The following is a 27,061-nucleotide window of genomic DNA, read 5'->3' as shown; positions in this document are numbered from 1 at the left end:
AAGTTGCAGTGAGCTGAGATCATGCCACTACACTCCAGCCTGGGCAACAGAACTAGACTCCATCTCAAAAATATATATATTATGTATATGTGTGTATATATATATATATATATGTATATGTATATATATATGTATATGTGTGTATATATGTATATGTGTGTATATATATGTATATGTGTACATATATATGTATATGTATATATATTTCCACACCCCAAAGAGAAAACCTGTATCTATTAGCAGTCACTCCCTATTCCCCACAATATCCCTAGCTTTAGGCAACCACTAATCTACTGTCTCTATAGCTTTACCTATACCCTGAACTTATACCCTGACTATAGCATGTACCTATACCTTTACCTGTACCCTGAATACCTCTACTCCAAATATAGAGTATACCTATACACTGAATAATTCATATAAATGAAATTATACAATATGTATTCTTTTATGACCAGCTACTTTCAGTTGGCATAATGTTTTCAAGGTTCTTCCATGTCATAGCATATATCAATATTTCATTACTTTTTTATTGCCAAATAATATTCCATTATATGGATGTCCCACATTTTATTTATCCATTATCAATTGATGGACATTTGGGTTTTCTGCTACTATGAACAATGCTGCCATGAACATTCATATACAAGTTTTTATGTAGATACATGTTTTCATTTCTCTTAGGTATATACCTAGAAGTGGAACTACTGGGTCATGTGGTAACTCTAGGTTTAACATTTTGAGGAAATGCTGTTTTCCAAGGTGGCCGCATCATTTTATATTCCCACCAGCAATGTATGAGGATTCCAATTTTTCCACATCCTCACCAACACTTATTATTACCTTGTATTTATTATTGTTGTAACCATCCTAGTGGTATCACATAGTCGTTTTGATTTGTATTTTCTTGATAGCTAATAATGTTAGGAATATGTAGGAAACATTTTAATGTGCTTACTGGCCATTTGTATATCTTCTTTGAAGAAATTTCTATTCAGATCTTTTTTTTTTTTTTTCTAAGATGGAGTCTCGCTCTGTCACCCAGGCTGGAGTGCAGTGGCGAGATATCGGCTCACTGCAAGCTCCGCCGCCTGGGTTTATGCCATTCTCTTGCCTCAGCCTCCCAAGTAGCTGGGACTACAGGCGCCCGCCACCGCGCCCAGCTAATTTTTAGTAGAGACGGAGTTTCACCGTGTTAGCCAGGATGATCTCGATCTCCTGACCTCGTGATCTGCCCTCCTTGGACCCCGAAGTGCTGGGATTACAGACGTGAGCCACCGCGCCCGGCCCCTTAGTCCATTTTTAAATTGGGCTACTTGTCTTTATCCTTTTGAGTTAGAGTTTTTTATATATTCTAGATACAAGTCTCTTATCAGATATATGAATTGCAAACATTTTCTTCCACTCTGTGAGTTGTCTTCTCACTTCCTCAATGGTGTGATTTGAAGCAAAAGTTTTTAATTTTGATGAGGTCCACTCGATCTATTTTTTAAATTGTGCCTTTATCTAAGGAATCATTGCATTATCCAAGGTCACAAAGACTTACACCTATGTTTCCTTCTAAGAGTTTTATAGTTTTAATTAACTCTTGGATTTAGGTCTTTGACTCATTTTGAGTTAATTTTTGTATGTAGTGTGAAATAGAAATCCAATTTAATTCTTTTGCATGTGGCTATGCGGTTGTCCTAGCACTACTTGAAAAGACTATTTTTCCCCACTGAATTGTCTTGGCACTTATGTCAAAAAGCAACCGACTGAAAATGTGAGAGTTTATTCTTGGACTTTTAACTCTATTCCACTGGATAGCCATATGTCTATCCTTATGCCACTACCATGCTGTCTTGATTACAGTAGCTTTGTAGTAAGTTTTAAAATAAGGAATGTGAGTTCTTCAATCTTGCTCCTCTTTTTCAAGATTGTTTTGGGTATTTTGGGTCCCTTGGATTTCTATATAAATCCTGGGATCTGTTTGTCAATTTCTGCAAAGAAGCCAGTTGGGATTTGACAGTGATTGTGTTTAATCTTTTGATCAACTTGGAAAATATTGCCAAGAACATGGGATGTTTTTACATTTATTTAGGTCTTCTCTAACTTCTTTCAACAGTGTTTTGTACTTTTCAGAGTATAAGTTTTGTGCTTCTTTGTTAAATTCATCTCTAAGGATTTTATTATTTTTGATGGTATTATAAATGGGATTTTTTTTCTTAAATTCATTTTCAGGTTGTTTGTTGCAAGTATTATCATGTTCTTTTAAACACTGTAGTGATACGCATAATTATTTACAGAGTACCTACTAGGTGGAAATGCTAGATTGATGGGAAATAAAGAGTATAAGACTCAGTTCCTAAAATGAAGAAACTTACAATCTAGTTGAGAAGAAACAATGCTTTACATGTTTCTCCTTTATAATTTTTTGAAGTGATTTCAAATACTTCATAATATTTGACTTTGACAACACCATTCATCCATTTACTCAAAAGTATGTATGAGGCTGGGCACAGTGACTCAAAAGTATTTATGAGGCTGAGCACAGGCTGGGGCTGTGAGCACAGGCTGGAGCTCTAATCCCAGCACTTTTGGAGGCCGAGGCAGGAGAATCGCTTGAGGCCAGGAGTTTAAGACCAGCCTGGGAAACATGGTGAGACACCTCCCATCTCTATAAAAAATAAAAAATTAGCCCAGCATGGTGGTGTACCCCTGTAGTCCCAGCTACATTGGAGGCTGAGGCGAGAGCATCACTTATGCCCAGGAGTTTGAGGTTATGGTGAGCTATGATCATGCAACTGCACTCTAGCCTGGGTGACAGAGCATGATCCTATGTCTAAAAATATAAAAAATAAAGTATTTATTGAGTGACTACTATCTGGAAACACCATACTAGATGCTGGGAATTAAATGGAGAAGAAAACAAATACAATCCCTGCATTCATGAATCTTACCATCTAGTTAGAAAGACATATTAATCAAACATAAATTATAAATTTTGGTAAGTACTATAAAAGAAACACACATTAAATAGTAGGGCAGGAATTGTGAATAAAATAAAGTTCTATTGCTTGCCATCTGCTTCTCGAGAGGCCACCCTCTGCGCAGCCCCCATATTACAGAAAAGAAGATGGAGGTAAACAAGAGTTTTAGTGTTCTGGAGGCAAAAAGCAAAGGATACTATGAGAAGGATCAGGCCCTCCAGCTTTAACACTGAGTTGTTTGATTAGATGTACAACATTTGGGTTTTATTTCCCTTCCTTCAAGAAAAAGGAAGAGGAAGCATGATTACAAGGGATGCAAGCCCTCCTGTTGCAACCAGGTCAGCACGCTTTGGCTACCCGCCTCGCTCTCTGCTGGGCTCAAGCAGAGAAGCAAACAGTAGTTCTATGGAGGACACAATGCGGTCCCCATGCTCTGCTGCCCCACTGCCCTAAGTGCGGGCTGGGTTTAAACTGTTTTTCAGCACTGGCAGAAATAAGCCAAACAGGCTTTTTAATATGATCTCACTTTCTCCCAGGTTCCAGCTTCCTTAGTACTAGTCAACCTGCCCTAACTTTTAAAAGTGTCACAGAAAACTAGAAAAGGGCAAGGTTATGGAGAGCTGACAACTACTTTATGAATGGATTATAGAAAGAAAACTTTGATTTTATTTCTTATACATTATAGACATACTGGAAGGAGGGGCAGTATATTTTATTTAAATAGGGAAGTGGTGGCCTAGTATTGGTCCAGGATCTTCCTCTAATTTCATCTTGACAAGCAGTGACATGGCCCAGCCACAAACTGCAATAGCAGAGCCTAGACCAGAATCCAGACCTCCTGACTCCTATTACAGTGCTTTTGCCACTGCATTTAAAGAGACTTAAATCCTTGGTCAATTCATGGAACAAACATGGCATGATCGTTAGGACTAGGAGATACAAAGGTGAATAAAATAAAGTTCCAGTGCTTGCCATCTGCTTCTGGAGAGGACACTCTCTGTGCAGCCCCCACCCCAAAGAGTGGATTAGATTCTGCTCCTTTGTGTGTTCATAATAGCTTGTGCATTCATAATACCTTGTGCGTTATTTCTATCAGTACACTTAAAACACTATATTATAATTATCTGTTGATATGTTGATTTCTTCTGCTAATTCAGTGAGTACATTGTAGGCAAAGATCTTGTTCTTTGCCATCCCAGAACCTAGCACAGCACCTGGTACATCGTAGATGGTTCAATAAACCTTCATTGAATGAATAAATGAGGAGCCGGTCCAATCCTCCTCATCCCACTTCATTCTGCTGGCACAAACCCACATAATATGTGACCGTATATCTCCCAGGTGAAAACTGGAAAGCTGATATGTCCACACTGTAACTAGTGGATCACCAGTAGTGTGGGTGAAACAGCAATTCTATGAAATTCACAGAGCAGTTCTACTCCCTTTTCCTACACAGCCCTGCCAAAGGGGAGATTTGGATTCAAGAAAACAACAAAGTTGATTTCATGTTGTACATATTTAATGAAATGGGATATCTAAGACTGAGTAATCCAGAAAATTCCCTTTTTAGTTCATGCATGGGTAGCCAGTCTTGGCTTTGGACAGAGTTGTCTTTTTCCAAGACCAGGTTTGTTTTTGTCTCCCCATATGCCTCATTTTGGTCTTGCCGACAAGTGAAGAGAAGCAGTTAGGAGAATGAGATGCATATTTAAAGCTAAGTTGTTGCAGAGCCAGCTCAGAGAGAGAAGTCTTATTAAAACTCATCTATATTCTTTTTCATAAAATATCACCATAAATGGACCTGTTAAACAGTGTCTCGGGAGCCTCTGTAATTGGCTGAGCTCCAACTACCCACAGGGGACAGGAAGATGGTAGTGGATGGCTTCCTTCCCACCCTCCACTGTTCACTGTGTGACCCTGAGCCCCAGCTCTGGGAGGTGGTCTGGGGAGACACAATTCCAATATCTGTTCCGTTTTGAATGCAAAATCAAACTATGTTACCAGATAAGCAGAAATGGCATAGAAATCAGATAAGGATTTTATAGTGGTTTGTAGACAATTTCTTAAGGCCTTTGGGGACAAAAGCATATCTCTACATATGTTAGCACATATCGACATATATGGATACTGTGTGCTAGTCTATCGTTGTCTCTGGAGATCACTTAGGTTCACTTCCTCCCCTTCATGGGCCATCAAGATGCAGTCATTCAAGCCCAGAAAGATATTAGGGTCTGTTTGACAAAAGACCGAGTGTGTGTGTGTGTGTGCGCGCGTGTGCATGTGTGTGTGTGTATTCACTTATTTGGCACCTGTATGTGAGAGGAGGCTAAAGAGAGAGAGAGATTGAGATTCTGACTTCATTACAAAGCCAAATTAAAATTATTTTTCTTAGCTATTTCTTGGATAATTTTCTACTCCCTCCCTCCAAGAGTGCAGATAAGTAAAAGTTGACCCAAAGGTCCTACTAGCTATTCACACACATGCATCCTCAAAGTAAAATGAAGTGCATTCATCTGGTTCAAATTACAGAAGCTATGTCTATATAGCACCAAATAAGTGAAGAGTTTAGAATCAGATTCATATAATTAGTAAACTCAGATTATCTAAGCCCCAGAGTAGATTATTTGTGTCTGAATTGCCCACTTTGGCTATCTACACACAGATTCGGTACCGTCTCTTTGAAAAAGCTAAGATAGATAACAATGAACATCTGTATACAAAATAGAAAATGTATACATACTTTATAAATCTAAATAACGCCAGGTGCGGTGGCTCACGCCTGTAATCCCAGCACTTTGGGAGGCCGAGGCAGGCGGATCACAAGGTCAGGAGATAGAGGCCATCCTGGCTAACACAGAGAAACCCCGTCTCTACTAAAAACACAAAAAATTAGCTGGGCGTGGTGGCGGGCACCTGTAGTCCCAGCTACTTGGGAGGCTGAGGCAGGAGAATGGCGTGAACCCGGGAGGCTGAGCTTGCAGTGAGCCAAGATCGCGCCACTGAACTCCAGCCTGGGAGACAGAGCGAGACTCCGTCTCAAATAAATAAATAAATAAACAAATAAATAAATCTAAATAACTTGGAAGGATCAGAATATTGATGAAATTTTCAGTCAAAATATTAAAATGGCTACAATTCTCAAAAAATATGCCTGAAATAGCTTCATAATTATTTCCATGCCCCATAAGGCTATTGTCATTATATAAATAAATTTATATAGCAATCTATTTAAATCTACACACTTGCATACACAATATGTAAGCTACTAATATATATAAACCTATATGTTTATAGGCTGAGATATATGGGGATTCATAGGCACATTTGTTATTTATTTTATTAATTCATTTATTAGATTTCTATTAAACATGTCTATTTTGGTTTATTATATGGTAAGAATCTGGCCTCACACATCCCTATCCACCCTCTTTCCATAGTTCTGGCTGCCAGGAGGGCTTGTGTCCTGAAGCCTGGGGAGTGGTTTTATTTATTTTCTTTAAACTGTGGGAGAGGTCAGCCATGGCTTAAGTGAACTCATAAATACATCCCCATGCCCTGGAATGTCCTAGGTGTGCCAGCCTGCCCATACAGCACCTGTCACCTATGGAAGGTCCACTGTCCTCCCTAAATAATCTTTATGTCCTTCTATATGTAAACAGGGATAGAGCTTCAATAGAACTGTCACCTCTCCTGGAAAGGGGAAAGAGGTGGTAGGGGGAAAATTATGGAATCCTGTTCCCACCTAGGTTTAAATATAACTCAGTCAGGATAAACAGGTAACGCTCTGCCCCTATGCTTACATGACGTAAAATAACTATACAATGAGCCGAGCAATGCAGAGAGTCAAATTGAGCCTCATGATCCTGTTTGGGTGTCTTTACTAATCACCCAAATCTCACATCATTTGTGAGATCCAAACACAGCTGCCATCTCTTCAGTAGTTCTCATCCCTGGCTGCATATTAGAATCACCCAAGGAGCTTTTTAAAAATATGGATGTCTGGGTCTCATGGTGCACCAGTTGACTCTATACATCTAGGAGTGGGACCCAGGAACCTCTATGGTTTAAAAGTTCCCCAGATGATTCAGATCCACAGTGAAGATTGAGAGCCACTGTACCTTTATACTGACCTAATTCAGTATAAGGCAGAGAAGTATCCCAGGAACTGGGGACTGGTAGACAATTGGGGTGATTCTAGCCAAAAATTAAGCCAACAAACAAAAATCAAAGTGAGCTTCCTTTTGCAGAAGATTTTTCACCATGTTAATATCTGCTCACCTAGATACAGCCAAAGAAATTGGGCTGAGAATGTGAAGATGACTGTCACATTTGAGAACCTATTCCCAGAATACTTACAAGGAAAACTGGGGCATACACATGCACACACACACACACACGCACGCACGCACACACACATACATACCATGTGACTGCTAGCAACTTAAAACAAAAAAATTTTAATTGAATTTCGGGGCCTGGGGAAGATCTGAACCTATAATTATTTCTTAGCAAACTTGCTGAACACAGGGTTTTCCTCCTCTGAGACGAGATGAGACGGGTAGCATAATGAACCCTCTTTAATTAAAAAATAAAATGTTTTAGGATAATCATATTCTTCTAAGTTACATTATTTTTTTAAAGGAAAGGACAGATCGTGAGAAAATGTCCATTTTCAAGTGCCCCATGTTAGGCTGCCTCAAATGGACTAGTTTCTCATTCAACCCTGTAGATTCAAAATTAGATCCTTAGGGAGGCACTTGAGTCCTTGCATTATTCCTAACATGAAGCTAACTTTTTTTTTTTTTTTTTTGAGACGGAGTCTCGCTCTGTCGCCCAGGCCGGACTGCGGACTGCAGTGGCGCAGTCTCGGCTCACTGCAAGCTCCGCTTCCCGGGTTCACGCCATTCTCCTGCCTCAGCCTCCCGAGTAGCTGGGACTACAGGCGCCCGCCACCGCGCCCGGCTAATTTTTTGTATTTTTAGTAGAGACGGGGTTTCACCTTGTTAGCCAGGATGGTCTCGATCTCCTGACCTCATGATCCACCCGCCTCGGCCTCCCAAAGTGCTGGGATTGAAGCTAACTTTTTAAAAACCCTTTCTGTACTCCCACTTCTCTTAAATGCAATAGGCAGGTTCAATGTCAATTGATTCCAGCCAAGCAAAGCAGTGGGGAGGGAGCAAAAGTCAGGGTACTGAGAAACAGAGACTCCTGGTCCAGCAGCTCTCTGACATAATTTTGTGGGATTCTCTAATAGAGAAGTGGAATGTTCACGTTCCCCATTAGAGAGCTCTTCCCCAGTTTCTTTGGAGATATTTGGGATGTGAGTAGATAGACAGAGGTGGGAAAACACTCATTTAGATCTTAAGTTGGAGGGAGGCACAAGCTCTGATGAATTGAAAATGTCTCTCTTCAGGCAGGAAAACTAGACTAAGACAGAACTGGGGGAGAAGTTTTGCCTGAGTTCTACCTCTCAATGTGTGGGTTGGTGGCCTTGGGGGACAATGATCGACCACCAAGATAAATATGAGAAATCCAATTCAGGAGGTTTCTTTTCAGTTTCACCATTCTCATTTTCTTTGATTCCTATTTCCTATTCTACTACTTCTGGGTGCAGCCCCCCTAAAGCAAAAATTTCTGAATCCTAATGAAGATATCTTTATTCAAGGGAAAAAGTAATATATTGGAAAATTTAAATGGAAATCTGTTTCCCCCGCCAAGCTTTTCCTACACTACTTTTCTGAAAAGAAAGAGTAAAGCAGCCTAAAACCTATTACTATAGTTTACACCAAAAATGATCTCTGATAGAATCTACATATTAGGATGTGTCTATACCCCCCCCCAGAGCAGGTATTGTGTCCTCTTGTAGGCAGCTTCTTTCACCTCTTAAGATACATTACAGCCTTTCCTTAGGCAGTATAAATCTGTGTTCTTATAGTTCTGAGATTGTAGTGTCTAGCCACTTGGGGAAACATCTACACTTCAAGCTACATTTAGACAAACACACATGCACACACCCACACACATCCCCTCCCTATATCCATATCAGACACCTGTGGTGCATTCACTGGTTTCAGATGCACTTACACCGGCTACCTGGGATTCCTCTAAATTCCTACTTATGAATTTAGAAAAGGCAAAAATCATGTAGGCAAGCATTAGCTCCCAACAAGAGTGTAGACATGGATAAGTAAAGGTAGTGAGAGTGGGAAACCCATTTTATGAGATTTTATAAGACAAAATAGGGTAAGGACACACACATACACGCACACACAGTCCACATGCACCAGAAACACTCACCTGCTGTGGCTGAATGCAAAACTGAAGAGGCTTGGAAATCTACCGGTGGGGAGGGGCCTCACAGTCAACAGCCCAGAGAGCTTCGCCCTGCCCGGGTCTACACCTGCCCAGAGAGAATTTTGGTAATTTTAATAAAACCAAATTAAATCCTAAAGTAAGCCTAGTTGGTGATTCAGGAGGGATAGCCCCAGACCATTATAGGATAGCTATAAAATAAAAAATAATATATAGATGGATAAGAATAGGAGCAAAGCAAATAAAATCATTTTAATGGAGGAGAAAGGGAGCATGGCAGAGAAGAGGGAAAACTGCCAAGTGTGAAGAAAAAGTTGCTTACAGGATTCTCCAGGGTAGGAGAAGCTCTCTGGCCACCTTTTCTTTTTGTGGCTTTTGAGATGGGGGCCTGCAGAAGACAGAAAAGATTGGCACAAATCCTGGGATTTGTGCATTTGTAAGGAAAGCAGAACATGCTTCAGTAAAAAATGCCTCTCTACATAAAACAGAGAGGCAAAGAGGTCTGTGGTGTTGGAAATAGTGGAGGGGTGTGGAGGGCAGCAAGCCATTGACATCCCTGCTGTCAAGAAATGTATCTTTTAATTAGAGGGACAAGTTTGTATGCAAGACACTTGATGGATGTTGGCACTTTATGTAAGCATGTTTTACTTAGTTTTTCATGACATCTTATGAAATGTATAGTGTATTACTTAATTTAGTTGAGGAAACTGAAGCTCAAGGGGTTAAGCAATTTGCCCAAGGTCAAAAAGCTAGAATGTTGAAGTTCTAGGATTTGAACCCAGGCCTGGCTTGCTCAAAGCCTAAGCATGTTCTTTCTATTGCCATGAAAGAGACCAAATGTAGTGCCGATGTTTCCCAAGTAGATACAGATCTGGAGGGATGGTCAGTGTGTCAGCTTGTCCAACTTACCGCTCTTTGTGCAAAATCCCTGCCCTACTCCCTGGAGCCCCTTCCCTCACCCGAGAACTATCGTGGGCAGGGCCTCTTTGGCTGAGGTTGTCTTCTTTCTCCCTCACCACCCTTCACAAGAAGAAGACATCAAAGATTGCGCAGGGTCATAAAGAGAGGGAGGGTGTTAGAAGGGAGGAGCCACCCTGGGCTCATAAACTAGGCGGGGTTGGGGGGACCCACCCATTTGTCAGGCAACTCTGCATCTCACTTTCCCCAAAAACTGACATCTCAGCTCTTGCTTCAGGGCAGGGTGCTTAAGCAAAGTGCGGGTGGTGGGAGTGAAAGGAGGCACATGGGAGCGATTGGAGCACCGGGTCATTCTGACAGAAATGGCACCTCCTCTCCACCCGCACCCTGTGAGGCTGAGACATTTACGTGGATTCGTTTGGTTCTTGTTTCAGTTCTGCTGCTCTGTGGCCTTGAGGAGCTTCTTCCTGTCCTCTCATCTCTTCACCTTGTTCTGGGGTAAATCATCTCTGGACCGCCTTACCTGCTGAGCAGCTCACTGGAGACCACACCGTGGAGGCACACCACACAGAACAGCCAAACTCCCCAGGCCACAACCAGGCTACACCTCCTGAAAGACAACTGGAGAACCAAAGAGCATCAGTCTTTGTGGCCTCCCTGTACCATCTCCTCCTACCATCAGAGCATACCAGAGCCTCCAAACTCTTCTTGGGTAGTGTCAGAACCTGCAACGGTCATGTTAATTCAGTAAAAATGTCTGTGTCTTAGATCTGAGTGCAGTCGCCTCCGTTGACCTTTGAGCTCCCTAAGGACAGAAATCAGGTCTTAGCCCTAGAGGGTTCCTCCACTGAATGGAGAGCTCTGCACATAGCAGGGGCTCTTGAAATGGCATCACCAAAGTCGGTAAGAATCAAGAGGTTTGTTCTCCTATGCAAATTGGATAGTCCAAATTAAAATTCCCCTTCCTCCTGATTATTTTGATCATAGAACTGTTTTTTTCTTCATCAACATAGTCATCAGCAAGCATTTATTGAGCATTACTGGAGGGCTATGCTTGGTGTTTGGTACAAGAGATGTCAGGTCCTGCCATCAAGAGACATAAAATATACATTTTAATATACACAGAGTTTCTCAGCTCTGCCACTTTCCGGTCATGGGATGCCAGACAAATTTTTTAACTATTCTTTGTTTCTTATGTTAAAATGAAGAAAGCAAAAGCCCCTACCTCACAGGGTTGATGTAGCAATCTAATTAGATCGTGCATATAAAGCACCAGTGCCTGACACATAGTAAGCACCCAATAAGGTGGCTGTGGGAAACCAGCAAAAGTTTCTAAGCAGAAAAGTGGCAGAGAGAGAGAGAGAGAGAGGTGGAGATTGGAAAGCTTTACTCTACTCCCACTAACACAGAACTAGTGGGATAACAGCAAAAGATATTTAGATTGGGTCTAAGATAAAGTTAATAATAGGTGAATCAAATACTACATGAGCTCTTGTTCCCCTGACATCTTTAAGAACTGGGCATCCCATTTAAAAAAAAAAAAGAAGAATGAAATTATGTCCTTTGCAGCAACATGGATGCAGCTGGAGGCCATTATCCTAACCAAATTAACACAGAAGAAAACCAAATACCACATGTTCTCACGTATAAGTGGGAGCTAAACACTGAGTACATATGGACATAAAGATGGAAACAATAGACACTGAGGAATACTAAACGAGGAAGGAAGGCGGGGATGAGGGTTGAAAAACTACCTGTTGGGTACTATGCTCACTACCTGGGTGATGGGATCATTCCTACCCCAAACCTCAGCATCACACAATTCCCCCATGCAACAAACTTTCACGTGCACCTCCTGAACCTAAAATAAAAGCGGAAATTTTAAAAATTAAATAAATAAATAAATAAAAGAACAGGGCATCCAACCACGTGTTAACAGTATGGCCTAGAGATGGGACCCTGGACAGATTAGCCTCTGGGGATTACTTCTAAATAAGACTGCTTAGAATGTTCAAAACTTCAGCAATTAAATACTATCTGCATGTAAATGATGGCATTTTTTTCTCATTTTTCTTAATATTTATCTGACCTTACAGTTAGATTTACTGTGTATTTTACACCTGATATCTTTTGGGCCCCAGGCCAAGGTCATCTTATCCTGATTCTGTGAGTTAGGAACACTTCTGTGAATTAGAAATTCTGTATTCCCCATCCTGAAAAGTTCTTCAGAAAGGGCTCCCTAACTCCTTTTTCCATAGTTGGACAATAAAAAGACTTTCAGCCTCCTTGTAACAGTCACTACATTTTGATCAAATGCCAACTGGGTCACTTACTAGTTTTGTAACCTTGAGGAACTCACTAAACACTCTGTTCCTCAGTTTTCTCATCTGTAAAATGTGGGTAAGAATTCCAAGCACACAGGTTTATCATCGAATGATGATAAATGACAACACTTTGGAACTGTAAAATGCTCTTTAAATGTTAGTTATTATTATTACTACAATGTTTCAGTATTATGGAGAGAGAGAGAGAAAAGGAGGCAGTTGGCAGGAATTGTGACACCAAACCTCTTTTGATTTACATAGTTTGATTTATACATTTGACTTTTTTCTAAATCAAACAGTATTTTTGAAATCCTCAACAAACTGAAACACTGGTGTCTGCCAAGTGGGTAGCACCTGGGAGTTTAGAAGACTTCGTTGAAGTGACTGTTGTGTGGCGTTCAAAGGATGAAGCATTGGGGGTCTCTCATAACATACTGCAGGTTAGGTCCTGCAACTGTCAGTTCCTAGCTGGATTTAAAGAACTTTTAACCTCCAAACCCGGCAAAGGATGCTGGGACAGGAGCTAAATCTGTAATGGGAGGGGTGTGTAAATTCTGCTCCAAGGTGTGAAAATAAGGCCTAGAGGGAAGACATCAAGCAACCAGGCACCCTCCTTCCCTGAAGTCCTATTTATAGTATAAATAGTAATAGTAGGATTGGCAGATACGGGCTAAGGATAGGGAAACAAGGAGCAGAGCTTCTCTGAGCCCCAAAGACAGCAATTGCAATGAACTACATGTGTTTAGAGTCAGGCTGATGGCTGTCTTGCATCCTCAAGGAATAAACAATAATAACCCCAATCATCATCTCTCGATGTCAGAAAATAGTCATTAGTGTACTGCTCCTTCTAAACCTTCCCCAAGAGTAAGGCTCAGAGTTGGTCCCATTTTGTAGATAGAAAACTGACGCATCATGACTGATGCTAGCTGGGATAGGTACCAAGTTCAGGAAAAAAGTCCAGGTGTTTCCAGTTGCTATTTTATCCACAAGCACATGTTTACCCCCATAAAGATCTCTATCCAGCCGCAGTGGATGCCTATCTGAATTTTGGCAGTGACTGCAGTGGGAGGGTGGTGGAGTAGCATGGGCATTGCCATGAGAGGGCACAGGGCAGAATGGGGCAACCTGGCATCCCTCAGGGGGATGACGCTTGGGGGGATAACGCTTAGGGGGCTGGACTAGGGCACCTCTCACGTTTGGAAGCTTCAAGACTCTGCATTCTCAATGATTTCATCTCTCCATAATTTCCTTGCAACTAGCAACAAAGAATTTCTAAGTTCCAAGTATTTCCTCTTGCTTTGACTGAGTCTTGTGAAATCTAAAAGGACAGAGGAAAGAAGGACCCTCAGGACAGAAGACTTTCTCCCTTCTCCCCCAAATTATGGAGAGGGGCAGTGGGGCACACCTTATTCTAAGCAAGCCTGTTTACCAGCTGCCAGCCCAGACACCCTCCAACAAAATGCCATGGAGAATGATGTTGTGACTCATGGCTTGGCAAGTACCAGGATTATGCCCCAGGCTCCCAGATACCACACTGGCTCCTCCAGGTCGCTCTGGCTGGATCTCCTCCTCCGTTGCCCCAGAGGCATTCCTCATCTTGCCCTCTCCTCCCCAACCCCTCCCACTCTCAAATCATTCCAGGTAGTGGGTGTGGGGGACGGGAGAGGTAAGCAGGGTTAGAATTGGGATTTGGGTTAGGGTTAATTTCAGGATCAGGATTAAAGATAAGGTTAGGGATAGAGCCAGAGCTACTTTGTAGGATTTGGTTTAGTCAGTGGACTTTTAGCTGGTAGAAACAGAACTCTGCTAACTTACAAGTATTCAAGTCTTGGGTTAGCCGCCAAGATGTCTTGGTGACAGGTCCACTTTTCTTGGGCTCAGATTAGAAGGGTTAGAATCTAATTTAGAAAATAGGAAATGTCAACACTTAAAGATGTAATCAAGAATCACCTCTAGGAATCTAAGCAGAGGCTTTCTGGAATGCCTGGAATGTCTGGAAACATTCTAAGGGTTGTTGATACTTTAGAACCATTAAATCCATTCCCCAGGCATTGTGCAGTATTTTGTGACTTTACCTTGACCTCAGTCTTAGAACTTTCTAGTATACTCAAGAGTCTTTCTTGGATTTCTTTCCCGAGTCCTTTCCTTGTCTTATTGAATGAATTGTTCCTTTATCCCATCAGCATTGAGAATGACTGGGGGAGTAACTGAAGAACCAAGACCCTGATATTTGGGTATCTTGGGTGCCACCTTGGCAGAGAGGTACCCAGCAAAGCATTCTGCGTCTTCCCAGACTGAGACATCTGTCAGCACAGCTCAAGAGGTTCTCCCTCAGGCAAAGGACAAGACATACAGCAAGTTCTGAGCTCAATTTCTGAGGGCAGGAAGAAAATAAAACTAGGAAAACTGCAAGGGCAGCAGGGAGGTATGGAGCAGGAGGCTTCCCAGGAAGTCATGGGAGGCATTCAGGAGAAGTTGGAAGATAAACCAGAGTGGTATTATGGGGTTGAATTCCTAGAAACTCATACTTAGAGACTGTTCACACACACACACACACACACACACGCACATGCACACATATCAACACCTCCTTACATGAGGAGCCCAACCCAGTAAGGTGAACTAGCTGGCAGCCCACCCACTACTGGGCAACCAAAATCTCTTCCATTTGAAATGGGGCCTCAGTGTCTCTTCCTTCTTTCCTCACTCTCCTTCCCCACATCTGGCTCCTTTAGTGCTTGGAGACCCTTCTGTGGAGGGACTAGGAGGGTACGAAGCTGGCTAAGCCCAACCTCAGCTGCCTTCCCCATAAGCAGCAGCAAGATGGTGATGAGCTGCCCCCCTCAAGGCTCAGAGGCGAGGGATTTTTTTTTCTTTCAAACATGTCACATCTGGCACATCTGCTTTCTTAGCAATGATGCATCCCAAGGGGTATAATCAACACTTGGGGCGGGGCTCAGATGCAGGTCTGTACTTACAGAAGCCTGAGCCAGAGACGCCGAGAGCAACACTTAAGAGCACCAACTGCCCCCACTCCCCATCCACTGCAGGAGCTGAAGATCAGCTCCATCCCTGTGCACCTTTCTGCCTTAGAGCAGGTGCCCTCCTCACAGGCCACACATATTTTAGGGCACAGAAGACAATGAAATGGTGCATTTGCTTTGGACAATTCTATAATCCTTTCTTTTGTCCAACCCTAAACTCTCCTATTGGAATTAGAAGGAAACTGGAAAAGAACCATCTGCTCTTTCCTCTTCACAAGCTCAGAAGCAGGAGTCAGAAAGGCCCTGCAGCGCCTTCTCCAGTCTTTGTATCCTCTTCCCTCCTAGCTGCCCTCATCTCTTCCTTGCCCTTGTCAGGCCCCATCCCTTGCAACAGGTGGGAGCCTTCCCTCTGTGGACCTGGTGTTTCAAAGGCACTACCTAAATGCCTCACAGCAGCTGTTTGACAAAACACCACCAACAAACACTTTGACCCCTCTTCCCACTGGGACACTCCTCTTCCCATGCTTCCACTTTCCTGTGACTCCATCTTTCAGACATTCTGCCTCAGCTAGGAAAAATGTCTTCCATCCATGCAAATTTCCCTCTTTCTACCTTAAAGCTCACTCTTCTCTCTCATCAAAGACACCCTCCTTCCCTTTACTCTTTGGCCCTAAACCTTCTCTTCCAAACACTCCCTGACAAGCCTTCTGAAGGAAGGCTTCTGTGGACAAGCCACCGCATTCCATTCAGTAGTCCCTCTCCATCCTCCATCACTGCCAGGATCTCTGCCCTTGTCTTCATGTCTGCGTCTGTTGTGTGTCACATCATCCCCATCACACCAGGAGTCTCCTGAGGGTAGGGACTCTGCCTCTCCCTCCAGTATTCTGTATTCTTCAATGATTCTTGATTCAGTAAAGGAAGGTAACTGAGTGAGAGAGAGACATAGGGGCTAATACCTACTTTCCTTCTACAAAAAGACATAACCAATGTACACACACATACACAGACACACAGACACACACACACCCACAGACACACACCAAGTCATCCCAAAGATGACTGAGCTTGTCAGAAATAAATCATGTTTGGCTTTCAAACGCAACAGTAATTACACAGTATCTTAACTATCTGTGCAAACTGTCAGAGAAAATATATTGGCAATTCAGTGAAAGAGGAGGGGGAAGCTGCAGCATCCATCGAACACCACCCTCACCTCCTCTGAAGTCATCCAGAGAGAGGACAGCACGGAAGGGCGAAGGCGTGCCAGGGCCAGTCCCAACACTTTCAGAGTCTAATGGTTTTTCAGGTGAGATGTGCTGTCACAAGCTCCCAGGGAGGAGGGGACATTCAAGATGAATTGTATGCATCACCGGTCTTGAAAGATGTTGCAAAGAGCAGCAGGAGGGATTTAGGCTAAATTTTCTGAGGACATCCTGACCAGGTAGGTTCTGGAGACAGGGGCTCCAGAGAGATTGAGTCCTTTCCTTTGAGAGGTTCAGTCTCACCTTCTGTCCCCAGATAGAACTAGATCTAGACTATTCCAGAAGGTGGGAAGAATGATGTTTTAAAGATCCTTTTTTTTTTTTTTCTTGAGACAGAGTCTCGCTCTGTCACCCAGGCTGGAGTACAGTGGCGTGATCTTGGCTCACTGCAACCTCCGCCTCCCAGGTTCAAAAGATTCTCCTGCCTCAGCTGCCTGAATAGCTGGAATTATAGGTGTGTGCCACCACACCTGGCTAGTTTTTTTGTATTTTTAGTAGAGACAGGGTTTCACCATGTTAGCCAGGTTGGTCTCGAACTCCTGACCTCAGGTGATCCGCCAGCCTCAGCCTCCCAAAGTGCTGGGATTACAGCTGTGAGCCACTGTGCCTGGCCTAAAGGTCCCATTTAAAATTTTTAATATATTAATTTATTGAAATAAGACCCTGTGTCTGAGATTTGGGTTACTATGCTTTTATTAGTTCTAGTTATAATTTAGGGTGCTCCTCCCCCGATTTCTTCTCTCTCTAACATTTTTCCCAATCCCAGACTTACATTTGCCTCAACAATGTCCCTTTTCCTAGAAGTACTGCTTACCCCTTTCCAGGCCACTTTGCATCCACATCTTTCTGCTAAGGTTTTAGAGAAATCAGAATGATGAGTTTCAGGACCCCAAAAATACGTGGAACAGAGGGACAGCCCAAGGAGGGAGATGTGAAAGATGGGGAGCAAGAGTGAGGAGGGGGAGAAGAACGGGTAGAAGACAGGAGCCAGGGCCTAAGGTTTAGGATCTCAACCCAGAAGGAGAGTGCGGGGAGAGCAGAAGAAGCAGAGATTTCTCATGGCTCCTTTAGCCCGTCCCTTGGCTCAGTGCTGATTTCACAGGCTTGGTTACTCGCAGCACCAAGCCAAAGAAATGTGTTGTCTAAAGCTGAGAAAAGAAACATGTATTTATCAAGGAATTGCTCGCAGACATTTCTAATGTGTGCCTGTGTAGGTATACTAGTTACCTTAGGGGCAGGGGGAGAAGGAACGCTGCCATGGCAAAAGGTTGCCACACACGGCAGCTGGGGCAGAGTCTCATTCACCAGAGATGTTAGAAAACCAGATGGAACTCATCTGTCTAGGATGCTTCTTGATAATTTATTATTATTATTATTATTATTAATTATTGAGACAAGGTCTCACTCTTTTGCTCAGGCTGGAGTACAGTGGTGTGATCATTGTTCACTGTAACCTCAAACTCCTGAGTGCAAGCAATCCTCCTGCCTCAGCCTCCCACGTAGCTGGGACCACAGGCATGTACCATCATGCCTGGCTAATTTTTTATTTTTTTGGTAGAGATGAGGTCTTGCTATGCTGCCCAGCTAGTCTCAAACTCCTAGTCTCAAGCCCTTCTCCTGCCTTGGCCTCCCAAAGTGCTGGGATTATGAGCATGAGCCACAATGCCTGGCCCAATAATTCATTCTTACATTTTCCCAGAATTTCCTGACCTAACCAACTAATGAAACAACAACAACAAACGAAACCGAAAAAAGAACCCAAACAAAACCCCAAAATACATTGTATTCTTAATATAAACCAAGTACTACTAAGTACTAAGTATTCCTAAATAATACGTAGTAACCCCCATTTCCCTAGTTAGCATCTAGATGAATCCTATTCAGTTCAACACCCCAATTGTCTCTCTTGATCCACAAATCCCTCTGTGAAAGGAATGAAATTCTCTCTATTTTTCTCACAAGCCCTATTTTAATGTATGCCCTACAATATCAGTATCTTATTCTCCTAAAGTTGATGTTTAGGAGGCTTATAAGCATCCTGTAATAACAGCCACTCTATCTAGGGGCTAAAAGTAGTACGTATGACAGTCACACGAGCAACAGAGATTCAAGACAGGTATCCCTGGCCCCTAATGTTTAGCAAAGCCTTCCCACTTTCCCAAAGGGGTTATTCACATGCTATGGGACAGGGAGCTAGAGAAGTGATAGGTGACTCTTTTCCAGTTTGTGGAAGATAGAGCTTTAAGGCCATCCCCAAAGTGCCCAGGTTCCTAAAGATCCAGCATTCCCAAACTTCAAATACTGCTAGGCTGATATTTCCTGACCTGTCCCCACAGAGCCATGAAATCCAGCTATAAGGCAAACAAGGCCATGTTTGTCCCATAAAACCATCAAGTGCGAGCTAATTAAATGACATCATAAAACAGGGAGATAAACGCAGGTGGCAGGGAGCCCGCCTAGGGATGGGGATGGGATCAGATGGGTGGCAGAAATGAAGACATGTCAGGAGAAAAGATGGGAGTGAGTATCCTTGGCCTGAAGATTTCCTTAGGAGTTTCCCCAGCAGTAGAGACGGGGTTTCACCTTGTTGGCCAGGCTGGTCCCAGCAACAAGTGAGGGGTGGGGGAAAGGAGGGTCTGAAGATGGAGAAAAGCTCCACCAGGCCCAAAGGAAGCAAGGGGACCCTCACAAATGTGGACCTCCCCACAGCCACTTCCTGTAGAAGTGAATCCTTGTTCATTCCCTCATAAAGATTCTTACATATAACAGTTAAACCGATGTGCATTTATAGTCCTATGTGGAGATATACACACCTCAGTCTCCTATACACAAACATTCTAAACAAGGTAATTCTCCTCCAACTCATCTCATAACTGAGTTAGGTGTCTTCTACTCAAACACAGGAATTTGTAAGCCATGACCTTAGGGATTTCCTGTAGCTCTAAAAAAAACTCTGGTTTTGGGATCTCTGCACACTGAGAGCATTTTAAAGTGATATACAGTAACTGCTCCCCCAGAACAGGGGCGCATTGAGAAAGTCACCAAGATGATGGACACAGGGAGAAAATAAAGTTCATGTTCTTATTTGGCCACATGACCCAGAGCTCTGCTGCTTGCAGTGGAATGGATGAAGGCTACAACTGGTGAAGTTGCTTGTCCCAGACGTATACTCCAGCAAGTGAGGAATAGGAACTCACAGAATTCCTGAAATAAGCTTAAATTTTAGTTTTATTTGTAGATCTTCACAGGCAAAGTGAGGGTGAGTCTCAGGAACTCCTAAGACCTCACCCTCTTCCATCCCCAGCCCATCCACCCACGGTATGTCTTCTCACTCCTCCACCCAGGCTCACGTCCCATCCAGAGAAGTTCAACTGGCAGTTCAATTTCTCATCCCCATTCCCTTTCCCAAAGATGTTAGTGTTAGAAGGAAAAGTTGGGACCAGGGAAGAGTATCAGATCCATAAGACAAATTTAGCCAGGCTGCCATTTGTTCATGGATTCATTCATTCATTCACACATTAATTCAGCAAACAGTTATTAAGGGCCTTCTATGTACCAAACACAGGTCTAGGAACCGAAATATGAAAATGAATGACCCTAGCCCTGGTCTTGAGGAACACAAATCTCCTTGGGCAAGGCCATTTTCCCCAGCAATCCTAGAAGAATCCTGATCTCCTTTACCACCAGCCTCAACTTTCACCATTCTCCAGTGAGTTCTTCTTTCTGCTGAATGTGCAGAAAACTGGAGACCTGAATCACTGACAATAGAGGAGTTAATCTCCCTGGACACCTAGGTTCCTTGCCTGGCTCCACCCTGACTCCTTGGGCAGTTCTGGACAAGTCATGGACTCAGTTTCTCTACCTGGGAAGCGGGGGAGGCTCCCACTGATTAGTTCTCAACTTCAAGAGCAGCTTGGTGATTAATGGGTTCATGTCCGTGGGAGGCTTTGAGCTCTTGGGATGAAAGACACTCTAAAGCCCTGACTCTATTGGAAACTCTGCCCAGCCAACAAGATACCCTGAAACCAGAAAGGGGGCCTTTGATCATATATTAAGGGTTGTCTTTGGAAGAATGAACTAGAGGGAATGAGTTAAAACGGTAGCAGGAATTAAGGTAACCTGAAAAAAGCACTTTCTGGCTCCTGGGTGGAGTCTCTTCCTCTGGAGTTGTTTACAGATCTTTCACCTGCCTATGGAGAGGGGGCTCTGGATCATCTCAGAAGCTCCTTTTGGAAATCTTACAATCAACTCCATGTTAGATACCTTCCCACAAATATTTCTTCCTTAAACGGTTCCCCCCATCACCAGCATGAATCAAGCCACCTCTCCCACTGCATGAACTGGTAGTAAGCATAAAGAAGGACAGTCTATCAAATTCCATTTAACATAATATTTTTAAAAATATTTAACATAGTTAAATGTACTTTAAATTTTTGTTATACAATTTATCTAAAATCTATCAAGTATTCATTATCAAGGCAAAGTGTAAATATCAAGATTAAAACTGAGCTTATGAAGTCAGGCTGAATTTCAAATACTGGCTCTGCCATTTACCAGTTATATAACTTTGAGCAAGTTGCTTAAATTTAAACACCCTGGGCCTCAGTTTAATCATCTAAAAAATAGGAGTAATAATAATTCAAACATAATATGATACTGTAAAAGTTAAATTGAAAAACTCTGATACTACCAAGAGTTGGCAAAAATGGTAGAACAACAGAAAAGTTCAGGTACTCTGGTCAGAGTGAGAAGTGGTGCAACTACTTTGGAAAACAATTTGGTGTTACTGAGTAAACATGAATGTTCACATAACCCATAACCTGGAAATCCCACTAATAACTATATACCCTACAAAATGTGGGCACATGTGCACTAAGATATGTATTCAAGAATGTTCAGAGCAGTGTTGCTTTCAACTGATAAAAACTGGAAAGGATGCAGATGTCCATCACCAGTAGAAAGGATACGTTATGGTATATTCATACAATAAAATACATACAGCAATGAAAATAAACAAATTGCAACTACATGCAACAACATGGATGAACATCACAAATAAAATGTGGAGTAAGAAGTGCAAGGCACAAAAGAATATACACAGTGTGAGTTCATTCACATAAAATTCAAAAATAGCCAAACTACATTGTTCGAGGTAATAAAACCATGATGAAAAGCCAGAGAATTACTATCACAAAATACGGAATAGTTAGTTTTGGGAAGGGGAAAGGACTGTGATGAGAAAGAACATACAGGGGGCTTCTAAGGTGCTGGCCAAAAAAAAAAAAAATTTAATCTGAGTGGTGATTATATGATTGTTTCTATTTGCTGCATTATTCATTAAATGCATGTGTATTCTTTATGCACTCTTATGAATGTGTCATATTTCACAATCTAAACATATAAAGCATTTAATTAGGTTATCTATGTAAAGTGCATAACAAAATGCCTACTACATACTAAGATCTCAGTAAATGTTGTCTATTATATCCATCATTCATCCACCACTAGTTCAGAAAGTATCTGTACCATTTCTTCCCTCCGCCAATCATGGTATGCATGTGGACGTGTGCTTCTTATTTCTAATAGACATTTACTGATGCCCCACTACGTGCTACACACTGTGCTAGAAGGAGATGAACTGGACAGCATTCCCATCAAAGGAGCTCAATACAGTGACCTGAATGTACCAAGACAGCTCCTGCTTCTCCTCAGACACGAGGAGCCATCCAAACCATCCACATCTCTTTCCATATACTTGGGTTAAATGTTAACTTCTCAAAAATGACAAAATCACAAACCAGGATTTGCATCCAGGAGGAAACTCCCACCTCAAACCCCGCTGCATTTTTGCCAACCACATGGCCACCCCAGACCATAAGTACTATTCACCCAGCTGCACACACACCACATGCAGCCCAAATCACACCTGCCACACCCCCAACCATGGTAGAGAAAAAAGGACCGCGAAGAAAAATCCCCCCAGTGTCTGCACTAGCCCCCTGCTCATCCCTCTCCACCCCAATCCCACCATCCCAGCTTAAGGGCATGAAATACATTATGACCCTGGGCCTTCGTTTACATGTAACAAACAGGGGTCAATTTATTTCTAAATCACTTTTTTTATGGCTCTATTGAACTATTTGCCACATTATTTATACGTTAATGGGCCAGGCCCCTCTGGGAAGCTCCCCATCTAATAAATAACGTGCCAAATCATTAAGCAAGGTGATAAAATCAAAGCCATTTAAAAATACATCAACCTGTGTTCCCTTCCAGTGAAATAAGCTCCAGGGGACCAGGGAAAGGAAAGGGGAAAAAGAAAACCACTTTCTATTACTGAGTTTGGTCAGGTGTAGATTTTTTTTGTTTTTTTTTCCTGGGCTTGAGATAAAAATCAGAGCTGGGAGATGTAGATAACCTGGCTGCTTACCCATATCCCCAGCAGCTAGGGGAGAGGAAGTGAATTGGTATTACAGTAAGGATGGTTCCAAGTCAGCTTCAGGCAAGAGGAAACAGGGGCATCAGATTCTACCCCCCTCCTGCCACTTAGGAGTATCTGGGGCAGACACAGAAGCCCAACTGGGCAAATAAAGTTATGTCCTCTGGCTGGGCGTTCGGGAGTTCAAAAGAAAATACACTAGAGACCTTCACCTTCCTACCTGCATTCCATCACTATAATTCTCTCTTACGAATTTCGGTATTTATAATTAATCTGAGTCACAGAGAAGAACATTAGTAATGATGATTACTCCGGCTTCCCTCCATTCCCCACTCCTCACCCAAAGGGCTTACCACACCTTTTTTCACCATCAACCCACTCAGAAAACCCATGCAAAGCTAGCATAGCAGTTCTGAGAGTATGTGGGCTGGAAGAACTGCTTTTGAGGTCCCTAAGGAATACAACCCTCCAGTGATTCTGAGAGAAGGGAACGGGAGCCCATCAGTCCATCCCTATCCTAAGGCTCCCTGTGGGTAGATGCCAGCCTTAGATGCTAGAAGGAATGACCCAAATAGATTGCATCCTGGTTGATGGGAAAGGCAAAACCCACTCCTCAGGACTCTAAGCAGCAATACAAATGAAGAAGTACAAACTGAGTGTCTAAGCAGAGAGGGCACACAGAGCAAATAAATTATCTGTAGGCTTAAATAAATATGTAAGTTTTGGGCCGGGTGTGGAGGCTCATGCCTGTAATCCCAGAACTTTGGGATCACTTGAGCCTAGGAATTTGAGACCAGCCTAGGCAACACAGGGAGACCCTGTCTCTACAAAAAGTTTTCAAATTAGCTGGATGTGGTGGCACACACCTGTGTTCTCAGCTCCTCAGGAGGCTGAGCTGAGAGGATCACTTGATCCTCAGGTCAAGGCTGCAGTGAGTGGAGATCACACCACTGCACTCCAGCCTGGGCGACAGAGCCAGACCCTGCCTCAAAAACAAAAACAAAACCAAAAACAATGTAAGTCTTAAGCAAATAAACCAAGTGTTGTTTAACTCCATCCTAATAAGAGCCTTGAAAGGTAATTTACAAATTCAGAGAAACTAAAAGATTTAATGAAGACCACACACATGTAAGTAGAGGGCCAGGGTTTGACTCTATGTCTTTTTGTTGACAAAAAGCTGTATTATTTTATTAAATCATCATGTCAAGGAGCAGAGATGAGCTTTAAGTTGAGTTCTAAAGAAAGAGACACATATGGATAAACTAAGAGAGGAGGGGAAGTGTGGTTTGCCAGATAAAATACAGGACACCCATGCCCAAATATTTCATGGGACATACACTAAAAATTACTTGTTTATCTGAAATTCAAATTTAACTAGCACCCTGTATTCTTATTTCCTAAATCTGTCAGCATTTAAAGCAAGCAACTCTTAAGCCTTAAAGCAAGGCAAATGGCCTGAGTAAAAGCTCAAAAGAATAGGAAAACAAGGCTTGTGGGGAGGATGAAAATTATGTTTACCGGGTTGGTGCAGAGAGTTCCAGAGTGGGAAGTCAAAAAATAGGAAGATGGGCTGGGCACAGTGGCACATGCCTGTAATCCCAGTTACTCAGGAGGCTGAGGCAGGAGAATCACTTGAACTCGGGAGGCGGAGGTTGCAGTGAGCCAAGATTGCACTGCTGCACTCCAGCCTGGGCAACAGAGAAAGACTCTGTCTCAAATAAAAAATAAAAATAAAAAATAAATAAAAAATTTAAAAAAGCATAGGAAGATGAGGTTGGCCATAGTCAGCTGCTAGAAAGGTCTTCCAGAATGGACAGTTTAGACTTGATGGGCAATAGAAATGCTTTGATTCTAAGTTGTAAACTTAGGGAAGAGAACAATCATGGTTTCATATGACCATAGAATTTAGAATTACTTTAGTTTATAACAATATCATGCCTTTTATTAGTATAGTACTCTATAGTTCGCAAAGCACTTTCACATGTGTTATTTAATTGGAGCCTCAGGTACCTTGCATGGTAGGCAAAATGGATGCTTTCTGCCTCAGTTGACTCTGCTTCCACTTAGCCTATGAGCTGGTCTCCATCCTTCCCTTGACTACCAACATCCTGAAAGGCACTATCCTGCCCCTACTCCCAACTCTACCACTCTACTGAAACTGGTGTCACAAGGTCACCAGTGACGTATCCAAGGCTTCTTTTCATTCTTCATTCCACTTTCCCTCTCTTTGGCATTTAACATTGTTGACAAGCTACTCTATCTGTAATGCTGTTCATCTCTTGTTCTCCTACTTCCCGGATCAGTTTTTCTCAGTCTCTTTCACTCTTCTTTTGTTCTATTCTCCTTCCCTTAAAGTGGGCATGCCCAAGTTTCCATCTTTGGTCTTGTCCTTGGGTGCTTTCATCCATTCTATTGTCAAGCCCTGAATGTGTGCTAATGATTCCCAAATTTACATCTCTCCTGGCTTTCTAGATTAGAATTTTAAATTGCCTCCTAGACATTTCTATGCATGATTCCCATTCCAGTTCATCCTCCTACTACCAATAGATCTAGCCATCTTATCCACTTGATGAACACCATTACTTACTGGATAAGGTCCAATTCCTCAGCCAGATTTGTCAGTAGTCACACAGTTATGGCAAAATCTTGTCTAGATCAGGAGGTTGGCAAACTTTCTCTATAAAGGACCAGACAGTAAGTATTTTAGGCTTTGCAAGCAGCATTCAGTCTCTGTTGTATATTTCTCTTTGTTGTTGCTGTTATTGTTTAATACAACCCTTTTAAAAATGTTACAACCATTCTTAGCTTGAGGGTTGTATAAAAACAAGCTTGGGCTTTAGTTTGCCAACCCCTGGTCTAGGGTCAGGCCTCCTGATTCCCAACCTTGTTCTCTTTTCCTTGCTTGAGGAAGTTAGAAATTTATATTTACACAGTATTGACAGCTTTAAAAATTTTCTTTCATGTACATTATTTTACTTGTTCTTGCTTCTTTGAATCTCCATAAGATTCTGTACCTATCACATAGAACATATTCCAGTTCGTAACTGTTTACTCTACTAGGCTATTCTTTTTTTTTTCTTTCTGCCTTTATACAGTTAGCATCTTTACTAACCTGCTAGAACTGTTGTAACAAAGTATCACAAATTAAGTGGCTTAAGCAAGAGAAATTTATTGTCTCTCCATTCTGGAGGCTGGAAGTCCAAGACCACAGTGTCAGGAGGGTTGATTCCTTCTGAGGGCTGTGAGGGAAAACCCGTCCCGTGCCTCTCCCCTAGCTTCTGGTGCTCTGCTGGGAATCTTTGGTGTTCCTTGGCTTGTAAACACATTACCTGGGCCCTTGCCTTCATCTTCACATGCCATTTTCCCTGTCTTAAAAAAATGTTACATCTCATTCATTTTTGTACATTCCATAGCAACTAGACCAATGTGTTATTCATAATAGGTACTTTAAAATTTAAAACCTAGTTGTTTTGTTTTGCTTTTTTTAACTTCAATGGGAGAAATGAGGAAGGGTCTGAAGATTAAACACTCACTCAGGTGGCTAGTGCTAGCTGGACAGGTAATGACACTGCTCTTGATTGTAAGGATAGCCGTGGGACAAGAAGAAATGGAAAGGAGGAGAGAAACCCCACAATACCAAGCTCTGTACTTCCCCCACTGGGAGTTCCTTCTCTCTAAGAGTTGAACTGCCTAAAGTTTTTCCAAGAGAAAACCCAAGCTGTCTGGGAGCTATGACTGCCCCCAGGGGTCTTAACAGCTTCTCTTGAGTACCAGAGCCCTAGACCTGATTGGAATGGAATCAGAGAATCTTAAAGTGAGAAAGGACCTTAGAGATGCAGCTTCCCATCAGAAT

The 27,061-nt window shown here is 42.4% G+C and overlaps 1 long non-coding RNA gene across 7 annotated transcripts in view, besides 1 other annotated feature; it reads right to left on the bottom strand.

Annotated features, from left to right (window-relative positions):
- The window catches only part of LOC105378250 (uncharacterized), a 158,791-nt gene that overhangs the window by 38,706 nt on the left and 93,024 nt on the right, over positions 1 to 27,061 (bottom strand). For 6 of the 7 annotated variants that reach the window (NR_189099.1, NR_189098.1, NR_189100.1 and 3 more), the window contains 2 exons: positions 10,723 to 10,820; positions 9,267 to 9,369 (listed from right to left, as the gene is read on the bottom strand). This is a non-coding gene — a long non-coding RNA (uncharacterized LOC105378250). The remainder of the gene's footprint in view (positions 1 to 9,266; positions 9,370 to 10,722; positions 10,821 to 27,061) is intronic. The other variant, NR_189097.1, reaches the window with a different exon arrangement.
- Positions 10,207 to 11,406: an enhancer, noted in NCBI's record as "BRD4-independent group 4 enhancer chr12:54242057-54243256 (GRCh37/hg19 assembly coordinates)". NCBI's record gives its function as "activates an origin of replication core promoter dependent on BRD2, P300/CBP, MED14 and CDK7 cofactors, and independent of BRD4, by STARR-seq in HCT116 cells {active_cell/tissue: HCT116}" and the evidence as "EXISTENCE:reporter gene assay evidence [ECO:0000049][PMID:35650434]".

Source organism: Homo sapiens, chromosome 12, assembly GCF_000001405.40.
Source record: "Homo sapiens chromosome 12, GRCh38.p14 Primary Assembly".
NCBI classification, from domain to species: domain Eukaryota; kingdom Metazoa; phylum Chordata; class Mammalia; order Primates; family Hominidae; genus Homo; species Homo sapiens.
The sequence above is the reverse complement of the archived record's forward strand: the minus strand, read 5'-3'. Positions and strand labels throughout refer to the sequence as shown.